Here is a 13004-nt window from a genome sequence, read left to right as displayed (position 1 = left end):
ACACCAGAAATCTTAGACCCAAGGTAAAAATGACCTCTTCTGGAAGTTTTTCTGGATCTCATTCTCTGCCTTCCTATTCCCAAGCCAGGATTCCTTATTCTGCTCAACATTTGCTATTCTATTATGAAACCATGTCAATGAGAGAGAGCATCAGCTTTTAGTGGCATGTAATTGTAATGTCTCCCAAAGGCAGAAATATGAATGAAATGACCTATGAAGCTGACTTTTAGCTCTAGGATTGTTAGGTCAAGTGGTTTCTCTTACAGAACACACACAGACACACACACACACACACACACACACACACAATAGAGGGAGCTTTAAAAAAAAGATCTGCCTAAGTATATAAAAAAGGTAAATTAATAACAGATGCTCTACTAATTAGAATTAAGCAGATTGAACTGTAGCAAGTTAAATTCAATAGGGTTAAGATAGCTAGTCAGAGATAAGTTAACACTATGACTGACTAAAAGAATGTTAAAACTTGATGACTTTTTTATAGTTATCAAATCCAGGATTAAGCAAACTATGGTGATATGGTTTGGCTCTGAGTCCCCACCCAAATCTCATCTTGAATTGTAATCCCCATATGTCGAGGGTGGGACCTGATGGGAGGTGAATGGATCATGGGGGCAGTTTCCTGCATGCCGTTCTCATGATAGTGAAGGAGTTCTCACAAGATCTGATGGTTTTAAAAACAGCAGTTTTTTTTGTTTTGTTTTTTTTTTTTGTTTTTGTTTTTGAGATGGAGTCTCGCTCTGTTGCCCAGGCTGGAATGCAGTGGCGCGATCTTGGCTCACTGAAACCTCCGCCTCACGGGTTCACGCCATTCTCCTGCCTCAGCTTTCCGAGTAGCTGGGACTACGGGTGCCTGTCACCACGCCCAGCTAATTTTTTTGTATTTTTAGTAGAGATGGGGTTTCACAGTGTTAGCCAGGGTGGTCTCGATCTCCTGACCTCGTGATCCGCCCGCCTTGGCCTCCCAAAGTGCTGGGATTACAGGCGTGAGCCACCACGCCCGGCCAAAAACAGCAGTTTTTATGCACTCTCTCTCTTTCTCTCTCTCTCTCACCTCCCATCACCTCATATGTGCCTTGCTTTCCCTTTGCCTTCTGACATGATTGTAAGTTTCCTGAGACTTCCCCAGCCATGTGAAACTGTGAGTCAATTAAAATTCTTTCCTTTTCAAATTACTGAGTCTCAGGTGGTATCTTTATAGCAGTGTGAAAACAGACTAATATATGGCCATATGGCCTGTGGGCCAAATTTGACCCACTAGTTTTGTTTTTGTTTTTGAGACAGAGTATCACTCTGTTACCCAGGCCTGAGTGCAGTGGCTCAATCATGGCTCACTGCAGCCTTGACCTCCCCGGGCTCAGGTGATCTTCCCGCCTCAGGCTCCCAAGTAGCTGGGACTACAGATGCATACCACCACTCCTGGCTAATTTCTGTAGTTTTTATAGAGACAAGGTCTCACTATGTCACCCAGGCTGGTCTCAAACTCCTGTGATCAATTGATCCATCTGCCTTGCCTCCCAAAGTGCTGGGATTACAGGCGTGAGTCTTCGTGCCAGGCCCTGCTTTTTAAAATACAGTTTTATGAAAACATAGCCACAATCTTTCACTTATGTATCACCTATGGCTGCTTTACCACCACAATGACGGAATTGAGTATTTGCCACAGAGACTGTATAGCCTAGAAAGCTTAAAATATTTCCTATCTGGCCTTTCACAGAAAAAGTTTGCTACCCCTGATCAAATTCAATTCCTTTATTTCCAAATAAGAAAACCCATCTCAAAGAATTTAAATAACTGGTATAATAACAGATCTAATTATTTTAGCAGCCAAGGTAAAATACAGGTATCCTGACTTGACTGGAATATCCCATTTTGCAATTTGGTTGCTACAAATCTGCATACCAATGGTCCCTGACTTAACAATGGTTTGACTTAAAATTGTTCAATTTTACAGTGATACAAAAGCAGTACATCTTAAGTAGAAGCCATACTTCGACTACCCATACGCCCATTGTGTTTTCCACTTTTAGTATAGTATTCAATAAATCATATAATATATTCAATGCTTTATTATAAAATAGGATTTGTGTTAGATGGTTTTGCCCAACTCTAGGCTATGTAAGTGTTTTGAATGTGTTTTAAGGTAGGCTAGGCTAAGCTATGATGTTCTATAGATTAGGTGTATTAAATGCATTTTTTACTTATGATATTTTCAGCTTATGATGGGCTTATCAGGAAATAACCCCATTGTAAGTCAAAGAGCACCTATATATATAAAATATTATCTCAGGCCAGCTTGGACAACATAGCAAGACCTCATCTCCACTAAATAATAATAATAATAATCAGCATCATCATCATCATCCAGTCATGGTGGTGCACACCTCTAGTCCCAGCTACTTAGGAAGCTAAGGCGAGAAGATTGCTTGAGCCAGGAATATCAAGGCTGAACTGAGCCTGATCGCACCACTGTACTCCGGCCTAGGTGACAGAACAAGACCTTGTTTCAAAAACAAAAAAATAAAGTCAATAAAAAATGAAAACAAATTTAAAACAGTATCTCAGGGTTTAAAGCAATCTGAAGGATCAAGTTTATGTTGAACTCTCAAAGCACGTATGATCTTTCTGCATCCCATGTGATTGAGAAATGAGGTCATGCAGGAAAAGGAAGCTCTGCATGGTAGAGTTTCACTTCTATCTGCTGGGGTTAACTGCTCACAGGAATTGCTACACTCTTTGGTACATGGCAAAAGCCACAAAAGGAAAATAGGAAAAAAGAGGAGTGAAAATGAGTATTTATTAAGGTACTGCTGTGTCCTACTTGGCTTATTGTTTTGAGCTTGACTAACCCTAAAACCAAATCTTTAAATAGATTTTATTATTCACATTAGATAAGTGGGAAAGAAAAAACAATGACACAAGATGATATAACTTGTGCAGGATCAAAAAACTATTAAGCAGCAAAGTGTGATTAACACCCAGGTCTTTCTGGATCTGACTCCAAGCCCCAAATTTCCTCCTGTCCTCCATGCCCAGTGTTTCAGGCACTCTATGTTGATGGCACCTGACCAAGCCACATGACCCTTACCTTGGACTTCATTTTCTTTTATCTCCCTGCTAAGGGATAGACTCAAAATCATGCTAAAATCTATAAACTCTTAGTCTTACACTCTGGAAATGTCATTTCTTATTTGAGAATTCTCAGTGACATTTTTGAAGTGCACTCTCCCTGGGGCATATACATTACACATAATACAAAGACAGATGAACATTGAAATAAAGTTAAAATAAAAATGGCATTAGGTAAAATAAATACACTTACTGTTATCCATCTTAAATCTGGTGCTGAGTTCATGGCCAAACCATCCCACTAATCTAAAATATAAATAAAAACATTAGGTTTTTGGGGGTTTTTTTGGATGGAGTCTTGCTCTGCTGCCTAGGCTGGAGTGCAGTGGCGTGATCTCAGCTCACTGCCACCTCTGCCTCTTGGGTTCAAGCGATTCTTGTGCCTTAGCCTCTCAAGTAGCTGAGACTACAAGCATGCACCACCATGCCCGGCTAGTTTTTGTCTTTTTAGTAGAGATAGGGTTTCACCATGTTGGCCAGGCTGGTCTTGAGTTCCTGAGCTCAAGTGATTCATCAGCCTTGGCTTCCCAAACTGCTGGGATTACAGGTATGAGCCACTGTGACTGGACATGATATTTTGATCTATAAAAATAAACACTACTAATTTAGAAATCTGGGGCCTGCATTATAAAGCCATTTGTAATATAAGTCATCAAATACTTCAGCAGATAAAATACTATCTGGTATCATATGGTAATTAATATTTATAATTAAAAGAATGAGGATAAAAATCTATCCATCTCTATTATTATTTTTGTGTGAAATGTCAACTTAAGAGTTATAGTTAATGACCGGTTTTTATTTAATATAAAATGAACAAAAATATTAAGCAGTTTTTATTTTAAAATTAAGCTAAAAGCTCAAAAAGGTCAAACAATTAATACAATATTTTCACAATAGAATCTCTAAAGAGAAATGTACCCAAAAAGCCCATACAATTGTTGAAAGTTTTAAAAATACTTTTAAAGGAAATTGGTTGCTTTCATATTGTTTTTGTTTTGTTTTGTTTTGTTTTGTTTTGTTTGAGACAGAGTTTTGCTCTTGTTGCCCAGGCTGGAGTGCAATGGAGCAATCTTGGCTCACCACAACCTCCGCCTTCCGGGTTCAAGTAATTCTCCTGCTTCAGCCTCTCAAGTAGCTGGGGTTGCAGGCATGTGCCACCACGCCCGGCTAACTTTTTTGTATTTTTAGTAGAGACGGGGTTTCACCATGTTGGTCAGGCTGGTCTTGAACTCCCGACCTCAGGTGATCAGCCCGCCTCAGCCTCCCAAAGTGCTGGGATTACAGGCCTGAGCCACCACGCCTGGCCTCATATTGTTAATAAGAATGTTGGCCAGGCACTGTGGCTCACACCTGTAATCCCAGCACTTTGGGAGGCCAAGGCGGGTGGATCATGAGGTCAGGAGTTTGAGACCAGCCTGACCAACATGGTGAAACACCGTCTCTACTAAAAATACAAAAATTAGACGGGCGTGGTGGCATACACCTGTAGTCCCAGCTACCAGGAGGCTGAGGCAGGAGAATCGCTTGAACCCAGAGGGGGAGGTTGCAGTGAGCCGAGATGGAGCCACTGCACTCCAACCTGGGTGACAGAGTGAGACTCCATCTCAAAAAAAAAAAAAAAAAAAAGAATGTAAAATAAGCCAGACATAAAATACAAAATATATAGGGAAAATCACATACGTGTGTGTATATATTACATGAAAAAGACTATAAAACAATTTAGAGAAAAATATAAAAAATTTAGAAAGAGAAATATCATGTTGCTTCTGATCAATTATCCCTAAATATTTTAGTTTTAGTGATGTCCAAATAAAAATTCCAAGACACTATTTTTTGGGAGATGACAAAATGTTTTAAAATTTATATAGAATAGAAAAGTATAGTGAGGAATATGCTATATTATCTTGTAATAGTATCTTATATGCTTTATATGATAATATTGCATATTATAAAATGCAGTACATAAATGAGACTAATTCTAGTAAAGAAACATCAGTGAGACAAATGAGATATGACGGTAAATACAGAAACAGTCCTCAGATCATGTCACAATTATCACCTCTTAATTATGACATTTCCAAAATGCAAAAATGAAAAAATTATATTTACATACTCATGATTTTCAAAACAGAAATTTCTAAGTATAAAACAGAAGAAAATTCAAAGGAACATACCAACAGATTTATAAACATTTAAAATTCTGTATTAAAAAGACAGACAAAATTGCAAGGCAAACCAGAGATGGGGAAGAGAAGTGATATTTGTCCCATATGAAAGAGTTTTCACTAAGAGTTTTTACATAGAAAAAGGACAATGTACCAAGAGCAACCCAGCTACAGAGCAGGGACAGGCAGTTTATAAAGGAGAAATGTCTGTGCCCCATGAATTCAGGAGAAGCAAACAAAACAAACAAAAACACCTCAATCTCACTAATGTTTCACACTATAATGTAAAGATGAGACCATATTTTATATATCAAATATACAAAATGACTTAAAATTATGCATATTTTCATTAAAGATTCAAAGAAAAGGAAATCAACCACTGTTGAATAATGATAATAAATAAGTAATAAAATCTTTCTAGAGGACAATTTAAGAAGATATATGGGAAATATGCATTGTTTTCTGTCCCAGAAATTTTACTCCTTCCAATTTATCTAAATTGGATTACACTATTTGGATTACACTATTTGAAGTACACCAAGATTTGTGTATTAGTGATAGGGAACAGCAGGCACAGAAAATCTAGGCAGAAAAGAGTAGGTCCCCAGGAATTCCTACCCTCAAGCTGAAAAGCCTGAAACCACAGCCCAAAGTGAGAACTTCTATCCCTGTTTTCCCGCTCAAATGTTGCTTTTTCCTAAACCACTCATGGCCCCACCCCGCCCCATCCTGTGCCTATATTAATCCCAGACTCAGCCAGTAGACAGGATACAGCTGGGCATCGGAGAGAAGTGGCTTGACTTCAGAGGGACAGCTTGGTGGCGTAACTTCGTAACTTCGAGAAGAGTCTGGCTGTCACACTGGCTCTTCACCCTGGCTGGTGGAAGGCAGCCGCCTCATGTGAAAAGTCAGAGGCCCCACTGAGCTATTAACACTAATGCGGACTGCGGACTGCGGACTGCGGACAGCAGAGCTAAAAGAGCACTGTAACGTGCCCTCTGGGGCTCTGAGAGTCGCAGGCACCCCCGGTTGGAGTCTGCTGTGGGGCCTGCATGGAGTTCAATCCTGCCGGTTCTAAAGTGTGGGGTCAGTTCCTACACCTGCTCACCTGTGCGCTCCCTCCCATGAGGGGTGGAACGCTGCAGGTCCGAGTGAGTGGGGTTGGGTCCTACCAGCGCCAAGTGGCCAGCCGATTCCAGCACTCATTCATTCCAGCTCCCGTACTCGTTCGCTCGTGCACTCCCTCCCGCGAGGAGCTGAGAGCAGCGAGCGGGGCTGAGTAAATGAGGCACCCCTGTCAGGAATTCCGCGAAGGGGTCAGGGAAATATCCTGCTTCATTAGGACAATTAACACAATACAATTTTCAGTGTCGAAACCATCTGAATATCTTATAATGGAGAACTGATAAAAACAAATTACACCTTTGCATATGAAGAGATACTCTGCAGCCATTATAAAAATCCTATTTAAAAGAATATATATACAAAAAGATTAAAATAGAGATCACAATATTTTGAGTGTGATTCTAGTTTTAAAACAATAACATGTATGCATTTATATTTAACTATGGCCAAAATGTTAAATATTTTAATTTATGCTTTATTCCTATGTTTTCCAGATTTTTCTTAAAGAGCACATATTGTTGTTGCATCAAAGAAAGTTTCTAATTATCATTTTAACTCCTCTTTATTAGTCCAAATTTTAATTTCAAAAATATTTTATGCATTTTGCATATAGTTTTATAGAATTAATTAGCAGAGTCTGATTAATTATGCAAATGATTAATTTTTTAAAATCCATCACTTAAAAATATCATACAGTTCTAACTTATTAAAATTCATAGTGTACCAACCCAGGCATACCTTTGAAACCTTATTTCTAATATATATTCTCTCGTTTCAAGTAATTCATTATGAGAAACTTAATAATCCTCTCTTTTTGTCCCCAATGGTTCTTCTGCCTATATTGATGATATTGGGTGGAATCTGCATAGGAGGAACTGAAAAAAGTCAGAGCAGAATGGTAAAAGCTCAAGCGATGGAATATCTACTGAAGTTCCAGTTTAAAAAAAAAATTATCTAAAGTAAAAACAAGGTGCCCAATTTGAATTCCAAAAGCTACACCCTTGATACAATTAAGGGTATAGAATACAAGAGAGCAGGGCCATTTTCAGAGCAGTGGTTACATTATGTATCCTGCAGAAAAAGGAGGCACATCCATAGAAAGAATCAACAGGACCCCTAAGGGATGGAAGTAGTGAGCAAATGAAAAATCTGAAGGGCTACTGTATCCTTTCTCCCCTAGCCTCCTGCTTAGGTACCTCCCCCAAATTGCTAATCTAGGAAAATTCAACACATTCAGTGACGAACAATGAAAAAAGAACTGGGTATAGCACCAACACAAAGATTTTCCATGAAAAATGGGAGAAATCTACAAGCAGATGAAAAATATGCACGAGGAAAAGATTGCCTGAAAGTGGATGAGAAATGTAATGAAAATGAATACATAAAGAAAACAACAGAAGCTTAATGAAATAATATTCCATGCGTTTGGAAAAAGCCAAGTAAAAATGTAGGAATAGGATTAACATATCTTAACAATAGGAGGGATGAAAATGAGCATGCAGAAATCAGGAAAGAACTAGAAAAGAAAAACAAAACACATAAAAGAAAGGAAAAAAGATTTGAAAAACTTCAAGAAAGGCAGGATACTATGGAAAAACTAGCAAGGGACAAAAGATAGTTGTGAGAAAAAATAAACAAAAAGATATATTTAAAATAGTTTAGAGAGAAAATGACAAATTTAGTAAGCAGATAAATAAGTTCTATCATAATCAAAATGAGTTTCCAAAGAAGAAAAGCCTGAGAAGAATATTTTTTAAAGTTATAATTCAAGACAACTTTGAGGAAATAAAAATGATTTGAATCTACATTGAAAAAATGCAACATCCTCTGAGTTAGTTGGGAGCGATTAACTCAGAATGGTCAATTTTGGTTACTGCCTATTAAAATTATTGGATTTTAAGGATAGAGAAAAAACTGAAGTTCCACTCAAAAAAGGTTAAGTCAGAATAAAGAAAGAAATGTCAGATTGGCTTCAAATGTATCAAATGCAACCATTCAATGACAGAGACTAATATAGAAATACCTGTACAATACTCAGAGAAAAAAAAACATGATACATGAATGCTATGTTTGACCAAGTCAAATTGTATAAGTTTTACTGGTATTGATCAAGCAAGTGTTCAGCTAATATTTTTCCCATGAATTCTTCATTACTGGAAAAAGAACTTAAGTCAGCCAAGAGATGACTGGTGAAACTATAACAAAATGACATATTGTGACTATCGAATATATTTAATTATAGGACTGAGACTGAACAAATGTGGAGATTAAGGTAACAGTAAATAGGAAATGATATGTGAAAGTGTAAAAATAAACAACTAAACAAATAGAGGAGTTAACATAGTTTTACTCACTATCCATAATTTAAACATGATAGATCAGGTAAAACAAGTATAATCAAATCTAAGAATACAAAGTGAATATCAAGAAAGTTAAAATTATTGACAAAAGTATCCCTCATCATTTTTTTTTGGTCTGAATTCCATTTTGTCATATATAAAGATTGCATCTTGCTTTATTTTACATTTTCTATTTATACTTTTGCTCATCCTTTTATTCAATTTTTTTCTGAGTTATTTATTTTAATTGAGTGTCTTTGCTTCGTAGTACAATCTGATGACTTTATCTTTCAATATGTGAATTAAACCTATTGATATTTATTACTTTGACAAATATGTCTGGTCTTAATTCAATGTCATTTAATGTCATATTTTCTATTTCTAAAGCTTTTTTAAAAAGTCTTTCAACATGAGATGATTTGCTTTTTTTTTGAGTAATTTACTTATTTTTTATTTAGTACTTATTTTGATATTTAAGGTTTTAAATTTTTCTTTTTCTTTATTCTATTAGTTCTCTTCCTTGAACAATTATAGATTTAGCAGCTTTCCTCTTCCTTCTACCTAATCTGTTATCACTTGATAGTTTTGTCAATAATTTGAAAAATTCACAGTAAAGATAAAACAGTTATGAATTGCTGTTCATAACACAATACCACACCAACACTCATAAAGCAAACATTACAGAGACTATAAGGAGAGAGAAATATCCTGTGGCAGAAGTTTTATTAACCTAAGTCCATGACAGATCAAGGGGACAAATATATCAATTAAGATGGTAAATCTAACATAAATGTTTAACGCTGTGACTTGAAATAAAGATTATAGCTTTCAAAAGAAATGCTCATAAAATGTTGACTATAACTATACAAAATCTTTAATATCTCCAAAAAGTATATATTGCTGACCATGGTATCTGAGTATAATCCAATAAGACTAACAATCAATAAAAAACTCAGAAAATGAAAAGACTCAATTACCTGGCAAGTTTAAAGTAAATTGATCTGAAATTACTTTTAGGATAAAGAGAAATACATACTGAATTGGTAAAATTTCCTTTATAAGAATGATTTTTAAAAGCTCCAGATCAAGACTTTTGGGAAATTGCCAAAACAGTGCAGAGAGAACAATTCATAGCTTTAAACTGTAGATCAATTTTAAAATTAGAAAGAAAACAAATAAATCAATAATAAGACTAAAAAGTGTTATAAAAGTACATGAAACAAATCTAAAATAAAGCAGCGGTATGCAATTAACAAAGAAAAAAGCTGAAATTAATAGTTAGAAAACATAAAATGACAGTTACACTGATACATAAGTCAAGTTTGTTGTGGTGAGGGAGAGGAATACCAATTGATCAAGAAAACATAAGAAGGTAAAGCTATGAAAAGAAAAACATATGCAGAAGGATATTCACAAAATAGGGAAAAATAAGCACATCATAAAAGAGACATTGCTTAAATTGACAAATCTAGATTAATTGAATAATTTTTTGGGAGAATATTACTTATTCATCCTAATCCCAGCAAGGAACAAAATGGAAACTAATAGATTTTAATAGGAGAAATAGAGAAAAGACTTAAACATCTAAAACTCACAAAAGAAGGTAATCTCATGGGGAAATTCTATCAATACTTTTTAGTAGATAATTCCAATGCTATTTAAACTAGCTCAGTGCATAGAAAACAAAAACCAAATCAAAAAAGAGGTATGGGAGATATTATCATTTTTTGTGATGCTATTATAATATTAATATTAAACTAGGTTAGGATTGCATACATATTCAGTCTTAAAAATATTAATACAAACATCATAAAATACTGCAAACAGATTCTAACAGCATATTAAACAACACATTATGAACAGTAGGGTTCACATAGAGCAAAAATGGGTCTATACTAGCAAATTTATGAATATACAATTCATTTTATTAATAAAGCTAAAGGAAAAATAAGATTATCTCCTTAAACCCTGTAAAGACATTTACGACATTCTTATTCTTAAGTTTTAAAAAATCTAAAGAAAACAATAGTAGAAAGATACTTAATGTAATGAAATACAGCAACCTCAGCCTGAAAGTCAAACTCTGATTTAGCAACACCGAAGTAATTTTCGTTAATACCAAGATTTGGCAGATATAAAAATAGGAAAGAAGATGTAAATTATTACTACTGTACTTTCAAGTTACATAATTTTTTTATTTGATATAAATATTCAGATACTTTAGTATGGTAGTCTGGTGGAAAATTAATATAAGAAATAAATATCTGAAATCTAAATTGCAACAAACAGATATATTACCAAAAAAGTGTTCAAGACCTGCATTCCTGAACAATAAAAATACTTGAACAATATTCAATATTAAGAAAATGTCAATTATCCTTAAATTGATGCACAAATTTAATATGATCTCAGTTGATATAATGTGGATTGTGTCCCTGCCCAAATCTCATATTGAAATGTAATTCCCAATGTCGAAGGTGGGGCCTGGTGGAAGTTGATTGGACCATGGGGATGGATTTCTCATGAATAGTTTAGCACCATCCCTCTTGGTACTGTCCTTGCAATAGTGTGTGAGTTCTTGTGATTTCTGGTCGTTTAAAAGCGTGTAGCATCTCATTCCTTGCTCTCTCTTGCTCCTGCCACGTGAGGTGCCTGCCCCCCATTTGCCTCCTGCCATGATTGTAAGTTTCCCGACACTTCTACAAAAGCCAAGCAGATTCCAGCACCATGCTTCCTGTACAACCTGCAGAACCACGAGCCAATTGAACCTCTTTTCTTTGTAAATCACCCAGTACCAGGTATTTCTTTATAGCAATGTGAGAAAAGCCTAACACACCAGTAAAAATAGATTTTTATTTGGGAAGAAGAAAAGCTGATTCTAATGTCATTTGGGAAAACAAATAATATTAAGAAATCTCTAAAAAACAATATATAACTCATTATATTAATAAAGCTAGAGAAACTCAGGATCAACTCTATAGACCAATGAATCAGAAGAGAAAGTCCTATCAAACAACAATATATTTTTTAAAAATCCTCTGCAGCTCATATTAAAAAGGGTTAATCTTTCTAGTACAAGAGTACATATAGATCAATAAGGCAAAAATAAAAATCTAAGAAAAATGGCCAAAGGATACGAATAGACCTTTTACAGAAAAGAAAAACAAGTAGTTCTTAAAAGTTAAAAAGAAAATCTCTCCAGTTACTAATAATATAAATACAAATTAAAACTACATTGCGATACCATTGTTCACCTCTCAGATTGACAAAAATACAAAAGTCTGATTATGTACTCTATTGGTGTGACTGTGGGTAAGGGCTAACTCCCATGTATTACTTTGAGAGTATAATGTGATGCACCTCTGTGAAAATAAATGAGCAATAGCTACCAAAGTTATAAAGATAAACACCATTGACCTACGAAATTCATTTCTGGAAATTTAATCTCCAAAAGTATTTGAATAAGTATGAAGTAAATTATGTATAATTATACTCAGTGCATCTTTTTAGTAACAGTCCAAGATCGAAAGGAACCTATAAATTGTCTACACAGAAAATCAACAAAGAAATATCAAAGTTAAACTATAGTCTACCAAATGGACCTAACAGACACTTACAGAATATTTCATTCAACTACTTTAGCATACACATATTTCTCATCAGCACTTAGAACATTTGCCAGGATAGACCATATGTTAGGCCACAAACAATTCTCAACAACTTTTAAAATGTTGCAGTCATATCAAGTATCTTTTCTGATCATAAGGGAATAAAACTAGAAATGAGTTACAAAAGGAACTTTGGAAACTGTACAAATACATGGAAATTAAGCAACATGCTCCTGAACAACCAGTGAGTCAATGAAGAATGTAAGAAGGAAATTTAAAAATTTCTTGAATCAAATGAAAATTAAAACATAGCACACCTGAACCTATGGGATACAGCAAAATCAGTGCAAGAGGAAAGTTTATGGCAATAAATGCCTACATCAAAAAAGTAGAAAGTAGAAAGATTTCAAACAAAAAACCTAATGATGCACCTCAAGGAACTAGAAAAGCAAGAACAAACCAAACTCAAAATTAGTAGAAGGAAGGATAGAATAAAGATCAGAATAGAAATAAATAAAATTGAGAATAAAACAAATATAAAAGATCAACAAAACTAAATGCTGTGGTTTTTTTAAAGATAAACAAAATTGGCAAACTTTTAGCCAGACTAAGAAAAA

The 13004-nt window shown here is 35.1% G+C and overlaps 1 protein-coding gene across 3 annotated transcripts in view; it reads right to left on the bottom strand.

The window, feature by feature from the left end:
- Positions 1-13004, bottom strand: part of KYNU (kynureninase) — a 178170-nt gene that overhangs the window by 22814 nt on the left and 142352 nt on the right. For all 3 annotated transcript variants that reach the window (NM_001199241.2, NM_003937.3, XM_047446250.1), the window contains one exon: positions 3341-3393. In NM_001199241.2, the coding sequence (NP_001186170.1) occupies positions 3341-3393 (53 nt within the window). The remainder of the gene's footprint in view (positions 1-3340; positions 3394-13004) is intronic.

The sequence above is a fragment of the Homo sapiens genome, chromosome 2, assembly GCF_000001405.40.
Source record: "Homo sapiens chromosome 2, GRCh38.p14 Primary Assembly".
Lineage (NCBI taxonomy): Eukaryota > Metazoa > Chordata > Mammalia > Primates > Hominidae > Homo > Homo sapiens.
The sequence above is the reverse complement of the archived record's forward strand: the minus strand, read 5'-3'. Positions and strand labels throughout refer to the sequence as shown.